The sequence below is a fragment of the Homo sapiens genome, chromosome 22 (genome assembly GCF_000001405.40).
Source record: "Homo sapiens chromosome 22, GRCh38.p14 Primary Assembly".
Lineage (NCBI taxonomy): Eukaryota > Metazoa > Chordata > Mammalia > Primates > Hominidae > Homo > Homo sapiens.
The window spans coordinates 40,783,772-40,805,161 of NC_000022.11; the positions used below are offsets into that span (position 1 = coordinate 40,783,772).

At 42.0% G+C, this 21,390-nt stretch overlaps 1 protein-coding gene and 2 pseudogenes across 7 annotated transcripts in view; 1 reads left to right on the plus strand and 2 right to left on the minus strand.

Moving 5' to 3' along the window:
• The window catches only part of SLC25A17 (solute carrier family 25 member 17), a 49,717-nt gene that overhangs the window by 14,142 nt on the left and 14,185 nt on the right, over positions 1-21,390 (minus strand). For 2 of the 7 annotated variants that reach the window (NR_104235.2, NM_006358.4), the window contains 3 exons: positions 15,252-15,312; positions 10,743-10,809; positions 8,754-8,905 (listed from right to left, as the gene is read on the minus strand). The exons of 1 other annotated variant lie outside the window; for it this stretch is intronic. Coding sequence is in view for 3 of the 6 variants with exons in the window: in NM_006358.4 (NP_006349.1) it covers positions 8,754-8,905; positions 10,743-10,809; positions 15,252-15,312 (280 nt within the window). In the remaining 3 variants the exon portion in view is untranslated. Of the gene's footprint in view, positions 1-8,753; positions 8,906-10,742; positions 10,810-13,512; positions 13,566-15,251; positions 15,313-21,390 lie in introns of all 7 variants that reach the window. 4 more of the 7 variants (NM_001282726.2, NR_104237.2, NR_104236.2 and 1 more) reach the window with 4 other exon arrangements.
• On the minus strand, positions 3,936-5,657 carry RFKP4 (RFK pseudogene 4; annotated as a pseudogene).
• Positions 14,268-14,514, plus strand: JTBP1 (jumping translocation breakpoint pseudogene 1; annotated as a pseudogene).

Consider the following 21,390-nt stretch of genomic DNA (forward strand, 5'->3'; position numbering starts at 1 on the left):
CTCCGCTCACTGCAACCTCCGCCTCCTGGGTTCAAGTGATTCTCCTACCTCAGCCTCCCAAGTAGCTGGGATGATAGGTGCCCGCTACCACACCCAGTTAATTTTTGTATTTTTAGTAGACAGGGGGTTTCGCCATGTTGGCCAGGTTGGTCTCAAACTCCTGACCTCGGTAATCCACCTGCCTCGGCCTCTCAAAGTGTTGGGATTACAGGCATGAGCCACCGCGCCCGGCCAATGGTACCTCTTTCTAACCCTCAGTACTCTCTATCCCTTCTCTGCTTAAATTTTGTCTGTAACCTTATCCTCTAACATACTATGTATTTTCCTTGTTTATTGTCTATCTTACAATATTAGATTGTAAGCTTCATGAGGACAGAGATTTTCATTTTTTATTTACTGCCATATCCTTAGCATCTAGAACTGGATTTAGCACATACTAGACACCCAATATATATTTGATGAACAAACCATGATGAATAAATGGCTTGTGGGAAAGGGTATATACTTTTTCTTTATTGTCCAAGCGAACTAGGCCAGGATCACAATATATTTACTTATCCTAAAGTATACAAAAAGTCACTTTGGAATTGCTAACTCATACGTTTGCAGGGGGAGAAAACATATGTACTAAGTTTCATCTTTGTTTCTAGTTGCTTTAAGAAGGTAGATTTAATATCAATAAAAATAAATATTCTTTTTATTTTTTAAAATAAATATTCAGCTGGGAGCAGTGGCTAATACCTGTAATCCTAGCACTTTGGAAGGTCGAGGCAGAAGAATCTCTTGAGGCCAGGGGTTTGAAACCAGCCTGGGCAACACAGAAAGACCCCCATCTGTACAAAAAATAAAAAAAAATTAGCTGGGTGTGGTGGCATCCCTGTAGTCCTAGCTACTGGGGAGGCCGAGGCAGGGGGATCTCTTGAGCCCAGGAGTTGGAGGCTGCAGTGAACTATGACTGCACCACTGTACTCCAGTGCCCGGATGACAGAGCAAGACCCTATCTCAACAACAACAAAAAAAAAAAAAAAAAAAAAGAAAAGGAAAAAAAATAACCTTGAAGGTTTCTCAGTATATAGTGAACTATAACCTACCTGGATCTTGTGCCAATCATAGAGTTTCAGCCAATCACAGGCAGCCAACTGTTCAAATAAGGTAAACAAGTGGTAACTAATCTGGCTGTTTCTGTACCTCACTTCTGACTTCTATATGTCACTTTCCTTTTTCTGTCCATAAATATTCTACCATGTGACAGCTCCAGAGTCACTCTGACCTTCTGGTTCTGAGGGCTGCCCAATTTGCGAATTGTTCTTTGCTTGATCAAACTCTGTTAGGCCAGGCATGGTGGCTCACGCCTGTAATCCCAACACTTTAGGAGGCTGACGCAGGTGGATCACCTTAGGTCAGGAGTTCGAGATCAGCCTGGCCAACAGAGTGAAACCCCGTCTCTACTAAAAATACAAAAATTAGCTGGGCATGATGGCTTGCGCCTGTAGTCCCAGCTACTTGGGAGGCTGAGACAGGAAAATCTCTTGAACCTGGGAGGCGGAGGTTGCAGTGAGCGGAGATCGCGCCACTGCACTCCAGCCCGGGTGACAGAGTGAGACTCCTTCTCAAAAAACAAACAAAAAAAGCTCTGTTAAACATAATTTGTCTAAAGTTTATCATTTAACAGTGGCCATTTGGGAAAAACCTAAAAGGAGGCAAAGGAGTTATCCACATGGTTACCAGGCAGAGGTCATAGCAGGTACACAGGCAGACACGTGCCAGGAGTGTTTAGGATGAAGAAGTCAGGGTGGCTGCAGCAGTGTAAGTAAAGAGAATAGGATGGCCGGGTTAAACAGGCTTTGCAGGACAAGGTAAGGACTTTGGCTTTTCCTCTGAGTGAGATGGGAAGCAACTGGAAGGCTCTGAACAGAGAAATGACATGATCTCATTCACTTTTTAAAATTTTTTTCTAAGAGACAGGGTCTCACTCTGAATGACTCCTGAATAGCTAGGACTACAAGTGCATGCCACCATGCCCTGCTAATTGGTTTTTTTTTTTGGTAGAAATGAGGTCTTGCTATGGTGCCCAGGCTGTCTTAAACTCCTGGCCTCAAGCGATTCTCTCACCTTAGCCTCCCAAACTGCTGGGATTATTGACATGAGCCACTGTACCCAGCCCTCATTCATGTTTTAACATGATCACACTGGCTGCTGTGCTGAATACAGACTGAAGGAGACTAAGGAGAAAGTGACAGATCAGTTAGGAGGTTCTGGCTGGGCACAGTGGCTCACGCCTGTAATCCCAGCACTTTGGGAGGCCAAGGCAGGCAGCTCACTTGAAGTCAGGAGTTTGAGACCAGCCTGGCCAACGTGGTGAAACTCCGTCTCTAGGAAAATACAAAAAATTAGCTGGGCATGGTGGTGTGTGCTTGTAATCCCAGCTACTAGAGAGGCTGAGGCAGGAGAATCGCTTGAACCCAGGTGGCAGAGGTTGCAGTGAGCCAAGATCATGCCACTGCACTCCAGCCTGGGTGACAAAGTGAAACCCTGTTGCAAAAAAAAAAAAAAAGTAGGAGGCTCTGGAGATAATTCCAGAAAGATTTGATGATGGTGGCTGGGACTGAGGTGGTGGTGGAGAGGAAAGTACGGTTACTTCGCATATCTTAGGGGAAGTGGATCCAGGACCCCCTTGGATATCAAGATCCCCAGATGCTCCAGTCCCTGATATAAAATGACACAAGTATTTGCATGTAACCTACATACATCCTCCCATACACTTTAATGTCTAGATTACTTATAATACAATGTAAAGGCTATGTAGATAGTTGTTATACTGTATTGTTTAGGGAATAATGACAAGAAAAAAAGTCTACATGTTCAGTATAGATACAACTACCCTCTTCTTTTTCCCCAAATACTTTCAATCCACAGTTGGCCGAATCCACAGATGTGGAACCCACGGATGAGGGCCGACTGTAGTTGAATTCTGGGTATCATAAGAAGAAAGGTTTGCTCATGGATTGGAGGTGGGGTCAGAGAGAAGAAGATATATTCAAGATTTTTGGTGGAGCAACTGGAAGACCAGGGCTGCCATTTAGTAAAATGGAGAAGACTCCAGGAGGAGCAGTATTTTAAATTTAATTCATTCACTCAACGTTTAATAAGTACCTTCTATGTACTAGGCAGTGTGCTAAGACACTGGGGATGTGGAAATAACAAAAATGTAATCTCTGCCTTTAAGGAGCTTACTGTCTAGCAAAAGATGAAGAAGAATATGCAGACTTATTGTTAGACAATAAACACTAAGACAGAGGTAGATGCCATGTTGGAGCACATAGAAAGGGCACCTAACCCAGAATAAAACCTAGGGGTGGTGGGTACAGGAAACAAGGAAAGATTCCTGAAGAAGAGGTAGCTGAGAATAAAGGGATGAATGGGAGTTAATAAGATGAAATAAGCAGTAAGACTGTTGTCAGACAGACCACAGTTGCTGTAGAGGAATGGGGTTACTACATGGCTTGGTACAGTCAAAGACTCACAGATTGGCATGGAAGTACACCCATACCATAATGCTTTCCCTACAGTAACAGATGCAACTGGCATAAGCAGATTTGAGAATAAACAGTTCACTCTTGGTAAGCGTAAAACTCAGTTACTAGAAGTGGAAGAGCACAGGCATCCTAGCGAGTAGCCTACCTGTTACAAGGGCTCAGCGTGCTGTGGTGTCTGCAGTCAAGATCAGTAAAGATCAAGCTTGAGGTAATTTGTATCACAGCAGATAAGATATGTCAGGCTTTTATCCTATAAAAGTATACCAGCAGGAGTCTGGTATACTGAAGGTGCCAAGCTGCATGCAAGGAACAGATACTGAAAGCTTTTAAGCAGGGATAAAACAGACTTAGAGTTTCAGAATAGCAGTTCTTGACAGTTTTCTTTTCTTCTTTTTTTTTTAGACTTGAAAAACACTTATTTTACTGTCTTCGACAACAACAACAACAACAACAAAGATAGGCAGGGAAAGTCTAGAGGACTTAGAATTGAACCAGCTCCATACAAAAATGAAGATGGTATAATGATGTGAGTTCAAAGAAAATGACTAAAACAAAATTTTACAAACATCTTTGTAGGTTTATGATAAACTGTCAACCTTCCATTTAATGCATTTACTTTTGTTTTATTTATAGAGATGGGGTCTCGCTATGTTGCCGAGATTGGTCTTGAACTCCGGAGCTCAAGCAATCCTCCCACCTTGGCCTCCCAAAGTGCTGGGATTACAGGCGTGAGCCACTGCACTTGGCCTTAATCTGTTTACTTTTATAAGCCTTCTCTATTTAGAAGTACGCACTACACAAGTACATACATTCTGGTATTTTACCATGAAAATTTCACTTTTCATCACAAACTAGTGACTTGCCTTTTTACCCATACTTATACGCATGTAATACCTTCCTAGTGGTACATCTTAATCAATATATATTTTTTAAATCTTGATTTTTAAATGAATCTTTTTAGTGCTATGACATGATGGGCTTAATTTAACAGATGAAGCATGATATGGTAACTACATTGTACTGTTTAAACTAATTCACAGCTGTAGGAAAATGTTTGATTTTTGAAATATAACCAAGATGAGGCTGGACAATAATAAACACTGGGCCGGGCGTTGCGGCTCATGCCTATAATCCCAGCACTTTGGGAGGCCAACGCAGACAGATCACGAGGTCAGGAGTTCGAGACCAGCCTGACCAACATGGTGAAACTCCATATCTACTAAAAATACAAAAATTAGCCAGGCGTGGTGGTGTGCGCCTGTAATTCCAGCTACTCAGGAGGCTGAGGCAGCAGAATCACTTGAACCTGGGAGGCAGAGGTCACAGTGAGCCAAGATCACGCCACTGCACTCCAGCCTGGGAGAGAGAGCGAGACTCCATCTCAAAAACTTAAAATAAAATAAAATAAAAACAAAACAAAACACTGAAATACTGGAAGACAGTGAATGAATAAATAATATGATTTTTCATCAGTGGCCATTCATTATTTTGCTTTTAGAAACCTGGAAGAAATTATCTTCTTTGAGTTTCAAATGTTCTGGTAAATCTAGTCATTTCTTAGCTTCCTCAAAAATCACCTTGAATTGCTGAAATAAGTGACTCTCATGAATCAAAGTTCTTTTCTGGTCTGAGGTAGCCAACAACGGCCACACTCAGGATTTCCCCATAGAAGTGCTCTTTGAAGGTATGCATGGTATGTGTTTCCATGGACTTCTTCGTATTCTCATAGTATGGGTTCCATCCTATGCTCACCACCATCTTCTGACCATCTCTACTTCCAGCACTGGCCCAACCATAATAAATGCCACTGGATATATCGGCTGGCAGATTATCTACCACTTGCTCAGGAAAATTAGCTGTGGGGGATGCCCAGCTGCTTGTAGCCACGGCCGAAGCCCCATACCACTTGGTCCCGGCAGGAGTATGACAGATGCTTCGTAATGCAGTCTGCTCGAGGCATGGGCTGCAGCCCGGTCCCTGCGTCCTACAGAGACACCGTCCACGCGGTGCCCGGACCCCGGACCAGCCACGGGGTGGGAAGGGGCGTGAGCTCTGTCTGCCGCGGGGGTGCACCAGGGGCCCGACGATGCCGATGACACGCCACGGAGGATCCCTGATGCCAGCGACTCAGGAGCTGGGTCTCCCAACCATTTTCATTTTCTTTCTTTCCTTCTTTCCCTACCTTTTAAAATATTTTATGTTTGTTTGTTTATTTAGAGGTAGAGTTTCCCTCTTGTTGCCCAGGCTGGAGTGCAGTGGCATGATCTTGGCTCACTGCAACCTCTGCCTGCCAGGTTCAAACAATTCTCCTGCCTCAGTCTCCCAAGTAGGTGGAATTACAGGCACCTGCTACCACACCTGGCTAATTTTTTGTATTTTCAGTAAAGGTGGGGTTTCACCATGTAGGCTAGGCTGTTCTCGAACTCCTGACCTCAGGTGATACACCCGCCTCAGCCTCTCAAAGTGCTGGGATTACAGGCGTGAGCCACCGCGCCTGGTCTAAAATTTATTTTTTATAGAGATGGGGTCTTGCTATGTTGCCCAGGCTGGTCTCAAACTGCGGGCTCAAGTGATCCTCCTGCCTTGACCTCCCAAACTGCTGGGATTACAGGGGTGAGCCACCACACCTGGCCTTGGACCATTTTCTGACAAGACAACAGATGATGCTCACAGTCAACACAGACCCGTAGACTCTCCTATGTGTCAACTGTAATCCTACCCCCTTCTCACACACTCAAGAAAACACTTTAGGCTGGGCGCGGTGGCTCACGCCTGTAATCCCAGCACTTTGGGAGGCCGAGGCAGGCAGATCACCTGAGGTCAGGAGTTTGAGACCAGCCTGGCCAACATGGTGAAACCCTATCTTTACTAAAAATATAAAAAATTAGCTGGGCATGGTGGTGGGTGCCTGTAATCCCAGCTACTCAGGTGGCTGAGGTAGGAAAATTGCTTGAACCCAGGAGGTGGAGGTTGCAGCAATCCAAGATTATGCCACTGCACTCCAGCCTGGGCAACAGAGTGAGACACAATCTCAAAAAAAAAAAAAAAAAAAAAAGTGGAAGAGTGAACTTTAAAGTTAAAATACAACAATTAAGGTTAGTAGGCTATTTATTATATGTGTTACTTTAACTGACTTTTTAAAATTGAGCCCTGAAAAAAAAAAGAAAAAAATTGTTCATGAGCCCTGAAAAAAAAATTTTAGACAAGTGGAAAAAAGTAAAAAATGAAAGCTAACTGCCCTACTATACCAGTCCAGCTGTGTTAGGTATGGGGGAGTCTGCTGTAATCCTAAATTGCACTAAGAGTTAGAAAGATGAACAGGACAGAGAGAGTAACACAGGGGTGGTATATATCTGGTGGGTAATGGGATGGCAGACACAGCAAATAAACCGCTTTGGACAATTTAAAAAGCAAAAGATTTCAACATATAGTCCATGAATTAGAAGTTTCATGGAAAGTTATATGAGTTAGTCCCTGTAAGTTATAATCTTTCAAATGCAAATACATATAAACTAATCTAAAATGATTAAAATCAAAGTATTACAAATAACTGGTCTCAAGTATAGAAGATCCCACTAGATTGCCATTTGTTGTAATTTATGTAAAAAACAAGTCTTTTTCTGTACAGGAACTATTCTAATTTTTTTCCCCAAGTGAACAAATCTCAAACTTGAGTTCTTTGAGTCGTGATACTCTTTGAAAACTACTCTCCTAGAAAGGCTGCAAAACTGTGCAAAGTGGGTTCATGAGGAAGACCTCAAAGGGAAGATCAGACTATAGTGCAATAGTCCAGGTGAGCAATGATAAGGTTTGATTTGGGGAAATGGCTATGGATATGGAGAAGAGGAAATGGATCCAAGAGACAGTGAGGAGACAGACCAGTGGTTCTTGATGGCCAAGCAGATGTGGAGGGTGGGAAGGCACGAAGAGCCTGTGATGACTCCTAGACTTCTATCCTGAGTTATTTATCCAAAATTCAACTTCTCTCCCCTTCTCTCTAAGCACATGGCTGGTTCCTCTGGCCACCAGCCTCCATCCTGAAGCTATCTAGGAGCCCACCAATAGTAACTTTATTAGCCTAAACTCAGAGATAGTTCAAAGGGGCTCATTAGGAATAACAAAAGATACTACTACTCAGGAAATTCCAATGGTTTTAGGAACTGTGCCAGGAACCAGGGACAAAGGCCACATACATTTTTTATTATACCACATACAGACATCCTACAACTTCAGAGCAAAAAAATGTAATAACCTGATTAAAAAATAGACAAAGAACCAGAACAGACATTTCTGCAAAGATAATATACAAATGGCCAACAAACATATGAAAAGTGATGTTCAGCATCACTAATCATCAGAGAAATGCAAATCAAAGCCACAGTGAGATATCACCTCATACCCATTAGGATGGCTACTATCATAAAACAGAAAGTAAGTGTTAGTGAGGATGTGGAAATATGGGAACTTCTGTGTACTGTTGGTGGGATTATAAATGTTACAGTGTTATGGAAAACAGTATGGAGGTTCCCGAGAAAACTGAACAGAATTCCAAATGATCCAGCAATCCCACTTCTGGGTATATATCCAGAAGAATGGAAAGCAGGCTCTCAAAGAGAGAGCTACACATCCATTTTCATAGCACTATTCACAACAGCCAAAAGATGGAAGCAACTTAAGTGCCTATTAACAGATGAATGGATAAACAGAATGTGATATATACATATAATGGAATATTATTCAGTCATAAAAAAGTAAGGAAGTCATGTCACATGCTGTATGGCATGGATGAAAGTAGAAGACATTATACTAAGTGAAGTAAGCCAGTCACAAAAAAAACAAGTAGTGTATGATTCGACTTATATCAAGTATCTAAAGTAGTCAAATTCTTAGAAACCGAAAGTAGAATGGTGGTTACTAAGGGGCTCAGGGAAAGGGAAAAGGGGAGTTTAATGAGAATAGAATCAGGTCTGCAATATGCAAAAGTACTGGAGATTTGTTTCATAACATTGTGAACATGTTTAACACTACTGACCTTACACTTAAAATTAACATGGTAAATTTTATGTCACGTTTTTTAACACAATTAAAAAAAAAAAAACCAAGTTGGAAAACTGGCTATATTCTTTGTAAGCATTACTTTGGGCTAAATAACCTCTTAGAGGATATAAAACCACAAGGTAAATATAAAAACATTTTATACCCAGAAAACCTTGTTACCTGCAACAAACCCAACTACCAGATCTTTTCCAGTGGTAGAATGTTGACCTTTGACCCAGAGTGCTTTGAGGCTATTAAAAGTGTAGAAATAGACAAAATTGGAGCAGCAGAGACTGGAAATCACTGGAAACCACCCTCGATATGGTGCCAGGCTAGGGGAAAAACACAATAAGCAAAGTAAAGGTCATGGACAAATTAGAAATTGGCAGAGAAATCCTAGGAAAGGCTGACCATCATTCACATGGTCTCAAGCTTCACTCCTACACGAATACAAGGGACTCCAAACTGTACACACACCTCACATTCTGAAGGATGTCCAAATCAAGAAATCTATTCTAGCACTAATGATACCAAAGAAACAACACAAAGTCTGATTGATTTATTAATTCCCTCCCTTAATTTTCTTTAGTAACATTGGTATATAAAATTAGAGACAACTTCCTCATGGCTGTTAGTTAATAGAGTACCATTCATGTTTTATTACAGGGCAAGAACAGTTAAAATGAAGTAATTATAGGAAATAAGTATCAAAAAAAAAAAAGATGGGGGAATTCACAAGGGCACAGGAGCTCACAGGAGCTCCTACAGGCCAAATCTGGGGCAATTTGAATACCAAAATAATGAAGTACAGTAATCAATTGTAAACCATTGAAAAATAGACATTTCTGAGCCTATACCAATAATAAGTAGATAAATAAATGAAGGAGAAGGGGAGGTCCTGCTTATAGCAGAATGCCAACATTGGTACCTGTAGAGGCAATGCTGGAGTTGGAAAGTCGTCATTTTGCAACTTCGTGGTAAATTTAGGGGAAAAATGTTGATAAAGCACAGGATATTTGTATTGTTTTGAAGTATCTCCACATAGACTGCTTATAGTTGCAAGGGAAGAAAAAAGTAATTGCACAGTGGCTAAATCAAATTTAAGAAATCATAATTAGCCAACCAAAGGCAGGCAGACAATATGTGAGTCAAGATGTGATATCTTGAGAAGGACACAATATCACCTGTGCATTATTCAGGCCAATAATGTATAACCTCAATGGAATCATGAGGAAATGTGAGGCAAACTTAAAAATGAGAAACTTTCTATTTTCTTTTTTTTTTTGAAACGGAGTTTTGCTCTTGTTGCCCAGGCTGGAGTGCAATGGCGCGATCTCGGCTCACCGCAACCTCCACCTCCTGGGTTCACGTGATTCTCCTGCTTCAGCCTCCTTAGTAGCTGGGATTGTAGGCATGCGCTACCACGCCCGGCTAATTTTGTATTTTTAGTAAAGACGGGGTTTCTCCATGTTGGTCAGGCTGTCTCGAACTCCTGACCTCAGGTGATCCGCCTGCCTCGGCCTCCCAAAGTGCTAGGATTACAGGCGGACTGTATTGTTTAAAAGTGTCAGTGTCATGGGGCTAAAAGGCTTTGATGTATGTAACTTACTCTCAAATAATTCAGAGGAAATTTGTGTGTGGTGTGTGTAAGGAGAGAAGGGAGGTGGGAGAGAGACAGCATGAGCAAAAATAGTAAAACAAACAGGAAAAGATGTTAACAGATGAATCTGGGTAAAGCATATACTTGTCTTCTTTGTACTAAGTTTAGTTTTGCAAATTTTTGTAAATTTAAAATTATTTCCAATAAAAAGCTAAAACAAGAAGTACATAATCTGTCTTAATGCACCTGACAGGAATGAACTAAACAACTATTATTTTTTTTTCAGTTTACTGTATATAAAACAATGCATTTTAGTTTCATGGAAGACTCCATGATCAAGAATCAAATGGCTTAAGGTAAGCATTGTACAAAAATAAATAAAAAGAATCAAATGCCTCACTACAGATCTTTAAGAAACTGAAAACAATTATGTACTTATAAATCAGGCAATTCCAAATTCACAACATTAGAGTGCTGTGAGAAAGATAGAAAGTAAGCATAACTCTACTGGAAGCACAGGAATCTCCTAACAAGTTGCTTTAACGAAGGTGAACTGAGGTAGTACTCACAGTCCTTCTTCTTTAATGATCTCCAGGAGCACCATGTGTGTAGTTTTGGATTTTCTTTTCTCATCAACTACAAGACCAAACAGTGCATGTTTATTTTATTAATTAAAAAAAAAATTTTTTTTTTGAGACAGAGTCTCACTCTGTCGCCCAGGCTGGAGTGCAGTGGCGTGATCTCAGCTCACTGCAACCTCCACCTCCTGGGTTCAAGCGATTCTCCTGTTGCAGCCTCCCAAGTAGCTGGGATTACAGGTGCACACCACCATGCCCAGCTAATTTTTGTATTTTAGTAGAGGCGGGGTTTCGCAATTTTGGCCAGGCTGGTCTTGAACTCCTGACCTCAAGTGATCTGCCCACCTCGGCCTCCCAAAGTGCTGGGATTATAGGCATGAGCCACCGTGCCCCGCCTATTTTTTAATATTTTTAGAGACGGAGTCTCACTATGTTACCCAGGCTGGTCTCAAACTTGTGGGCTCAAGGGATCCTCATGCCTCAGCCTCCCAAAGTGCTGGGATTACAGGCGTGAGCCACCATACCCGGCCCGTGTATGTTTAAACTAAATCCTTTGAGGATTATAATTGTTAACATCAGCAAGTTTCACTGAAATGCCATTTACCTCACCTTTGAGCTCCCTAGGTTGCCCCAGAACTAAATGATGCCCCTGTGTGACCATGTGCTAAATTCCCACTGCAGATCCCTTGCCCTTCATCTGTTACTCATGAACCATAAAGCAGTCTAATTTAATTCCTAATTTCCAAAGGAAAAGACGACAGAAAACATTTCTTCCTTTTTTTTTTTTTGAGACGGAGTCTCGCTCTGTCACCCAGGCTGGAGTGCAGCGGCGTGATCTCGGCTCACTGCAAGCTCCACCTCCTGGGTTCACGCCATTGTCCTGCCTCAACCACCGGAGTAGCTGGGACTACAGGCGCCCACCACGATGCCCGGCTAATTTTTTGTTTTTGTAGTAGAGACGGGGTTTCACTGTTAGCCAGGATGGTCTTGATCTCCTGACCTCGTGATCCACCCGTCTTGGCCTCCCAAAGTGCTGGGATTACAGGCGTGAGCCACCACGCCCAGCCTAATTTATTTCTTATATTTCATAAATTTCATAAAGCTCTCTTGTTTTATTCAATTAATGTATATATTTTCTCATTTTAGCATCTTATAAAGCAGAGAGGAAATAAATTACTATCTACCTTTTACAGGAGAGGCTATAGACACAAAAACTGGAAGGACAGATGTGGTCGGCAGCAAAGCCAGTATTAACATTCAAGTTTCTTTTTTCTTTTTTTTTTGAGACGGAGTCTCGCTTTGTCGCCCATGCTGGAGTGCAGTGGTGCGGTCTCGGCTCACTGCAACCTCTACCTTCTGGGTGCAAGCAATTCTCCTGCCTTAGCCTCCTGAGTAGCTGGGATTACAGGCTCCTGCCACCATGCCCAGCTAATTTTTTGTATTTTTAGTAGAGACAGGGTTTTACCATGTTGGCCAGGCTGGTCTTGAACTCCTGACCTCAGGTGATCCGCCCGCCTCGGCCTCCCAAAGTGCTGGGATTACAGGCGTCAGCCACCACACCCGGCCTAAAATTCAAGTTTCTTAAAGGGTTTTAGCCTTGCGTCTGTCTCCTAATCTAAAAAATAAAGTCTCAAAAGGACAAGGACTGTGTTTTTCCTGGCATTCTCACTGAAAACAAAACTCACCTCAATTAACTTCAAATTTCCTACCCATACCTGAAAAGTAATTTTAGAACATAAAATATGCAAATTAACCAATTTCCTAAGAATTAAAATTGGTACCAGTATGGCTTGTGGGATGGCAAACTGGCAAACTCCTATAGAAGGCAATCTGAGGCTGGGCATGGTGGCTCACGCCTGTAATCCCAGCACTTTGGGAGGCTGAGGTGGGTGGATCACCTGAGGTCAGGAGTTCGAGATCAGCCTGGCCAACGTGGCGAAACCCCATCTCTACTAAAAATACAAAAATTAGCTGGGCATGGTGGCACATGCCTGTAATCCCAGCTACTCGGGAGGCTGAGACAGGAGAATCACGTGAATCCAGGCCGAGATTGTGCCACTGCACTCCAACCTGGGTAAGAGAGACTCTGTCTCAAAAAAAAAAAAAAAAGAAGGCAATCTGGCAATAACCATCAAAATTACAAATACAATTACCCTTTAATGCAGTAATCCTATATCTGGGAATTTATCCCATAGAATTCACAGAAACAACATGGCATAGGAACAAATCTATTCTTACATCATTTCTGTAATAACAAAAGGGTGGAAACAACCCCAGAATCTACAACAGGGGAAGGGTGATACAGGTTATGGTGCATTCACACCATGGAATGGAACACTCCACGGCTGTAAGACAGACGAAGACGCTCCCAATGCGCTGATTCAGAAGGCATCTAAAACATACTGTTAAGTGAAAAGTTCAAAGTACAGGACAGCATGTAAAGTATGCTTTTTGTGTAAAAAAGGGAGAGAAAAAAAAGTAAAAAAGGGAGAAAATTAAGACTATATATTCTTATTCGCTTGTTATTCCATAAAGAAAGTCTGCAAGGCTACTCAAGAAACTGATAAACATGCTACCTGCAGTGAAGAGGAAAGGGAGACAGGGCAGACTAAGAGTGAGCATTTTCACTGCACTGTATACCTTTTTATATATTTTGCCTGTTGAATCATGTAAAATTATTTATCCAAAAACTATAAAATTACCCAAAAATAGTAGGCATAAAGGGTTTAACCTTTGAATTACTATTGAAAGCTAATCTTACTCATCTCTTCATGCAAGTTCTGGCATAGGTTTACAATTTCAACTTGAACAAATCTGAGGAAAAAACAAGCAAGAATCACAGTGAGTTGTAGAGTCCCATAAAGCTGCAAAGGCAGATTAGGACTACATGCCTACATTAGCAATGGCATTGAGTATGTGGCTCCAGTATGTTCCTATTCTGCCTCTTCTTTTGACACCATCTAACTCCCTCAAAAAACTCTCCACTGTGTGCCTTAAAAAAGTCATATGGCTTCTTAGAAAAGGATTGTAACAAATCAAAATTATTAGTGCAAGACCACTCAGGTTCTTAGATTAGAAAATGGCTAAGGCTATGACTCATCCAGGAATGACTCTCTGTTAATTAGGAAACATGATATCTTCTAGAAAGAAAAGGAAAATAAACCTTAAAAATAAAAAATAAAATAGGAAACAATGATGACCAGTATTTAAAGTCAATGGTGGATCTCTATAGTATCAGAAATCATTGATTAATTCAGAAATCACTAGACTGGGGTGGAGGCCGAGGTGCACCAGGCCTGTATGCCCGGCCAGCCCTTCCTCCGCAGCCAACAAATGCACATGGGTTTTTCTTGCTGTGGCCACAAGGACATCTGATAAAGCCTTTGCCCCATGGGCACCTCTGGCTTTCCCACCCTGACCTGGAACCTCTGCAAGGGCTGTAGAGTAAGCACTGCCTCTGCACCCCGGGAGGAACAGCGGTCCTGAGCGTCTCAGATCTGCATAGAAGGGGGCACTGCCCATTCTCATTTCCAGGCTAAAGTCACCCCAGAGTGTGGCTTCACAGGGTGTGTGGAGAAAACCGCAAGCAGCTCATCTAAGGAATGAGTTTGAAAGCCTCCCGCTTGGCTCTGATGGAAATACACCTGTTCTGGAAATTCGAAGGGGCTGTTGATATGGTCTTGATCTTTGCCTGTCTTGTCATCAGTTGTCAGCAACAACTGGGCAAAAAGCTCTGGAAAAGCTCTGGAGGCAAATTGAGTCCACAGAGCTACAGTCCACCCTTTACCCTGGGTCTTAGAGAACTCATCTCAGACAGAGAAAGCAACATGGCCTGATGTGCACCATTGGTTCCTCGGAACCTTTTCCCCATCTGCCTCTTTCAGATCACTGATGGGCAGAAAAAGAGTGAAAGCTTCCTTCCCCACTGTAATCTGGAGCAGGAAGTCAAGGGGCCTCTAGAGTGGGAAAGGGGGTGAGCAACTTTAGGCCCCAGTCTACCAGGTATCTATCTTCTCCCTCTTCTACAACTTATTTCAAACTTCTGGGATACAGTTTCAGCTGAAAAGTTTATTTTCTCAGTCAAAACTTGTTCCCCCTTAACCCTATCCCCTCTAGAAAAATAAAAGCACACATACATAAAAAAAAAAAAAAAAAAAAAAAGAGGCTGGGTATGGTGGCTCATCCCTGTAATCCCAGCACTTTGGGAGGCCAAGGCAGGAGATCACCTGAGATGAGGAGTTCAAGACCAGTCTGGCCCATATGGTGAAACACCGTCTGTACTAAAAAAGAGGTTCCTGTAATCCCAGCTACTTGGGAGGCGGAGGCAGGAGAATCGCTTGAACCCAGGAGGCGAAGGTTGCAGTGAGCCGAGATCATGCCATCGCACTCCAGCCTGGGCTACAAAAGCGAAACTCCGTCTCAAAAAAAAAAAAAAAGAAATTACTAGCGAAAATGTTTGCTTCCTGACACCATACAAATAGGAGTATGATTTCTACTTACCCTGAAGTCGAAGTCTAGCTGTATCCAGGGGAAAAAACACTGTCATTGCTGTCACGCTTCCCTGAAAAGTTTGAAAAAGGCCATTACAGCATCACAAACATAGTTTAAGTCACAACTTTTTTTTTTTGAGACAGGATCTTGCTCTGTCATCTAGGCTGGAGTGCAGTGGTTTACGGCAGCCTTGAACTCTTGGGCTCAAGTGATCCTCCCACCTCAGCTTCTCAAGTAGTTGGGGTTACAAGCACATACCCTCCAGGTGTATATCACCATGTTTGGCTAATTTTTAAATTTTTCTGTAAAGATGGGGGTCTCACTTTGTTGCCCAGGCTGGGAGTCACAACTTTTTTTTTTTTTTTTTTGAGATGGAGTCTTGTTCTGTTGCCCAGGCTAGAGTGCAGTGGCACGATCTCAACTCACTGCAACCTCCGCCTCCCAGGTCCAAGCGATTCTCCTGCCTCAGCCTCCTGAGTAGCTGGGATTACAAGTGCCTGCCACCACGCGACTGTTTTTTGTATTTTTAGTAGAGACGGGGTTTCACCATGTTAGCCAGGATGGTCTCGATCTCCTGACCTCATGATCCACCCGCCTCAGGCCTCCCAAAGTGCCGGGATTACAGGTGTGAGCCACTGTGCCTGGCCGGGAGTCACAACTTTTAAATGAACAAAAGTTTATTATTAGCAATCGATCAAATCAGATTTTTAGTGAACGAATACATACAATATTTTAATCTATTAGGATTAGCAATGTTCAAGCTTCTACTATGCTTTAGTAGAAGTATTTAATTTTTCAGAAGAAAACTCCTCTTTCTGTCTCTCTCAGACACTGAAAAAGAAAACATTTCCCTGCATATGACAAACTTAGGGGTTTGCAACCTAGGACACATGTCAAAGATAGCAGGCAAATGGATTTTTAACCTTCTACAGGTCAGTTTCTGCTATCATGAGCACTCCCTGATAACCCCCAAAACCAAAATACCCGGTAATTAAACAGACACATACTTTTATTCTGTGCTTAATACATTCACCACAAATTGAAAGGACAGGTAAGAATCATATTGTCTTTGAAATAGTAGTTTGCTTGTGTTTTAAATTAAATAGGAACAATCTCTTTGCCAACAATTCTTTAAGCTCATCCAAGATAACACAATGACACAAATTATCAATGAAAAAAAACAAGCAAACAACAAGTTTTTCCACTCATAAGGTCCTATATAAAAACCACAAACATATATTTAGGGATGAAACTATATACATGAAACTTCCATTTTGGTTTATGGTTCTCAATCCAGATGCATACCCACTGGTATAGATTTACAGGCATAAAATCAAGTTTCAGACTGCTGATCTAATAATGGTTACAAAAAAAATTAACTAATTAATTAGTTAATTATTTTAGAGACAGTGTCTTGCTATGTCATCTAGGCTCCAGTGCAGTGGCGAGATCATAGTTCACTGTAACCTTGAACTCCTGGGCTCAAGCAATTTTCCTGCCTTAGCATTCCAAGTATTTAGGACTACAGATGTGTGTCACCACACCCAGATAATTTTATTTTTTGTAAAGACAGAGTCTCACTATATTTACCCAGGCTGACCTCAAACTCCTGGCCTCAAGTGATTCTCTGGCCTCAACTTCCCAAAGTGCAGGAGTACTAGGTGTGAGCCACTGCACCTGGCTTCATACAGTATTTTAATCATGAGGTAGAGGTTGCAGTAAGCCAAGATCGTGCCACTGCACTCCAGCCTGGGTGACAAAGCGAGAGTCTGCCTCAAAAAAAAAAAAAAAAATTTTGAATAAAGGCCAGGCATGATGGCTCACGCCTGTAATCAATTCCAGCACTCTGGGAGGCCAAGGTGGGCAGATCATGAGGTCAGGAGTTTGATACCACCCTGACCAACATGGTGAAATCCCCTCTCTACTAAAAATGCAAAAAAATTAGCTGGGCCTGGTGGCACATGCCTGTAATCCCAGCTACTTGGGAAGCTGAGGCAGGGGAATTGCTTGAACCAGGGAGATGGAGGTTGCAGTGAGCCGCGATCATGCCACTGCACTCCAGCCTGGGCAAAAGAGACTCTGTCTCAAAAAAGAAAAAAGAAAAAAATATATTACATATATATATATATATATATATATATATATATATATATATGTAAATGATAAATAACTAGGAGCTAGGTCAACTTAAATAAGAAAATTTGGTAGGCCTATTATCAATTTAAATAGGTCAGCCTCCATGACAAGGGAGAATACTCTAATATTTGTATTCTTCAAAACACATATTGTTACCTCTCCCCGCCTATCAGCTTACAATTGGTTGTTCAGTCCTCTAGGGTGCCATTAGCACTTATTTATGGCTCTTTCAGCACATATACTACAGTGAAATCCAACTCTTCTGCTAATTTGTGAGAGCATTCTTTCTATATCTGTGCACATCCTAGATTCTCAATTAAACATTTATTCAATTCACTGTACTTTCACTTATTTATGCTTTTTTGATGACCCCAACATAACTGTTCTTTTCTAGTCATGATAAATGATTAAATGATACTCAATGTTTCAAGAAATGACACTCAACGACTAAATGATATTCAATGTCTCACAAAACACTGAACCCACAAAGCTTTACAAATCCTACAAATCCATGCATCCAGCATCCTTGCTCATCTTCAGGAGGCAATTTCCAAGAAAAATGGGAGCTGGAAAGTTAGAGAAAGCTTATTAAGTTTATTAAGGCTCTGGCACTCATTTTCTATCGCATGGTACTGCATTTCTTTTCTTTTCTTTTTTTAAGACGGAGTCTTGCTCTTGTTGCCCAGACTGGAGGGCAATGGCGGGATTTCGGCTCACTGCAACCTCCACCTCTTGGATTCAAGCGATTCTCCTGTCTCAGCCTCCCGAGTAGCTGGGATTAAGGGCGCCCGCCTCCATGCCCAGCTAATTTTTTGTATTTTTAGTGGAGACGGGGTTTCATCATGTTGGCCAGGCTGGTCTCGAACTCCTGACCTCAGGTGATCCACCCGCCTCGGCCTCCCAAAATGCTGGGATTACAGGCGTGAGCCACCGTGCCTGGCCGGTACTGCATTTCTTTGAAGGGTACTGCATAGACAGGGCATCTCCAGACAGAAAAAGTCTAGCCTGGAAGCTACCTCTTCAAACACTGGGCCACCTTCATCCCTCTTTTCTGCCAGCTTTAAATAGACACGTGAAGGTTCCTAAACATAGAAGTCCTTGCCTACCTATCTGGATATCTTGAAGTGAAACACCAAGATAAAGAGAACAGTCAGCCCAAACAGCTCATTGGTCTATTACTACCTCAAGAACTGGCATATGAAAATTCAAATCAGGCCAGGCACGTTGGCTCAAGCCTGTAATCCCAGCACTTTGGGAAGCCGAGGCAGATGGGTCACCTGAGGTCAGGAGTTCGAGACCAGCCTGGCCAACATGGTGAAACTCCCCCTCTACTAAAAATACAAAACTTAGCCAGGCGTGGTGGTGGGCACCTGTAATCCCAGCTACTTGGGAGGCTGAGGCAAGAGAATCACTTGAACCCGGGAGGCGGAGGTTGCAGTGAGCCAAGATCGTGCCACTGCACTCCAGCCTGGACAACAAGAGGGAAACTCCTTCTCAAAAAAAAAGAAAATTCAAATGAGTAACACCAAGTAACAGTTTTATAAATTTAGTAGCACTGGAAAGACTGGATCAAGAGGGTTAGCTGAAAACCCACCACTGCCTCCTCCCTACTCCAATGATTAATAATGAGAACAGATTTTTATATAAAAGGACTATATAGAAAAACAAAAAGGGGTCTAATTGGTAGATGAGAATTAAAAGAATACCACAGTGAGACATTTCAAAATTTATTTATTTATAAGTGCCATGTAATAATTGTACATGTTTATAGGGTGCAGTGTAGTGTTTCAATGCATGTACACACTGTATAATGATCAAACTGGGGTAATTACCACACCCATTACTTTAAACATCATTTCTTTGTGGTGATAATATCGGAAATCTTCTCTTCTAGCTATCCTGAAATACGCACGACATTGTTATTTGCTATCGTCACCATAGTTTGTAATAGAACACCAGAACTTATTCATGTCTAACTTTTTCTTCTTTTAAAGAGATGGGGTCTCCCTGTGTTGCCCAAGTTGGCCTTGAACTCCTGGGTTCAGGCGATCCTCCTGCCTCAGATTCCCGAGTAGCTGGAACTGCAGCCCTGTGCCACCACAGTACCTGACTTAAATGAAACTTTGTACCCTTTAACTAACCTCTCCTGGTCCCCCTCTCCTTCCTACCATCTCTAGCCCCTGGTAACCACTATTCTACTCTCTACTTCTATAAAATCAATTTTTTTAGATTCTACTTATGAGTAAGATCATGTGATGTTTGTTCTGTGCCTGGCTTACTTCACTTAACATAATATTTATTGTCCAGGTTCATCCATGTCACCACAAATGGCAGGATTTCATTCTGTTTTACAGCTGAATAAAATTCCCATTGGTATATTTACATTTTTCTTATCCATTCATCTGTAGATAAGCATTGATTCCACATTTTTTCTACTGTGAATAGCACTGCAATTAACACAGATATGCAGAGGTCTCTTTGACACGCTGATTTCATTTCCTTTGGATATATACCCAGTAATGGGATTGCTGGATCATATGGTAGTTCTATTTTTAATTTTTTGAGGAACCTCCATAATGTTTCCATAATGGCTGTACCAATTTACATTCCCATCAACAGTGTGCAAGAGTTCCCTTTTCTCAGTATCCTCACCAGCATTTGCTAGTTTTTGTTTTTTTTTTTTTTTTAATGGCTAAGTTGGAAAGTGGCTCACCGTATGCTACACATTTCCACTATGTCGGATCTCACTTCTAGTTTCCAGCTGAGCCATCTGAGGTGACTGGGCAAGTCCTTTCTCTGAATGTTTCATTTCCCATAAACGAGAAAATAGGTGGAGGGCCTTAGAGAGTTTTGATGTGAATAACAGCTATTAGATATCATCAAGAGCTTTTTCTCCAGACGACACTGACACAGGCACACTGGGTTCTGCTTTCCTTATATCCCCCTTCTGAGCCCAGGCCCTGTTCCTCTCACTTTCAATCCCAATTCGGGCTTCAAAGGACTAGCAAAAGGAGTCCTTTTAATAATATCTAGTGCTCCTTTGTCCTGAAATCTGGCTAAGGGAAGATTTCAGGGCCTCAGCTGGTTGAGGAATGGTAGAGACAATCCATCCTTGCCCATCTACGCACCCAAGCCCAGAGCAAGTGTGTACTTGGGGCTCGCTGGTACCTAGATGTGCAAGGTCACTCTACCAGGGCCCCTGTGAAGGAATGGGATCCCTATTTTCTGTCTTTTTTATAATAGTCAATCTAATTGGGGTGAGGTGATATCCCATTGTGATTCTGACTGGCATTTCTCTAATGATTAGTGATGTTGAGCTTTTTTTTAAGTATCTCTTGGCCAATTCTATGTCTTCTTTTGAGAAATGTCTATTCAGAGCTTTCATTTTTTTAATTATTTACTTGGTTTTTGTTTGTTTTGTTTTTGTTTGTTTTTGCTATTGAGTTGTGTGAGTTGCTTGTATATTCTGGATATTAACCTCTTGTCAGATGCATAGTTTGCAAATAGTTTCTCCTATTGTATAGGTTGTCTCTTCACTCAGGCCAGCCATTACGCCCAGCCTGAAGTGTTTTATTGAGTGTGTGAGAAAAGGGTGGGATTATGGTTGACATGCAGGAGAGCCTCCGGGTCTGTGTCGATTGTGAGCATCATCTGTTGTCTTGTGAGAAAATGGCCCAAGGCCAGGTGTGGTGGCTCACCCCTGTAATCCCAGCACTTTGGGAGGTCAAGGCAGGTGGATCACTTAAGCCAGGAGTTTGAGACCAGCCTGGGCAACATAGCAAGACACTGTCTCTATAAAAATAAATATAAAAAAGGTGAGGAAAGAAAGAGAAGGAAGGAAAGAAAGAAAGAAAGAAAGAAAAAGAAAATGGTTAAGTACTGCTGTTCTGAACAAAGCATTATTGGCTGGGAGCAGTGGCTCACGCCTGTAATCCTAGCACTTTGGGAGGCCAAGGCAGTAGATCACTTGAGGTCAAGAGTTCAAGACCAGCCTAGCTAAAACGGTGAAATC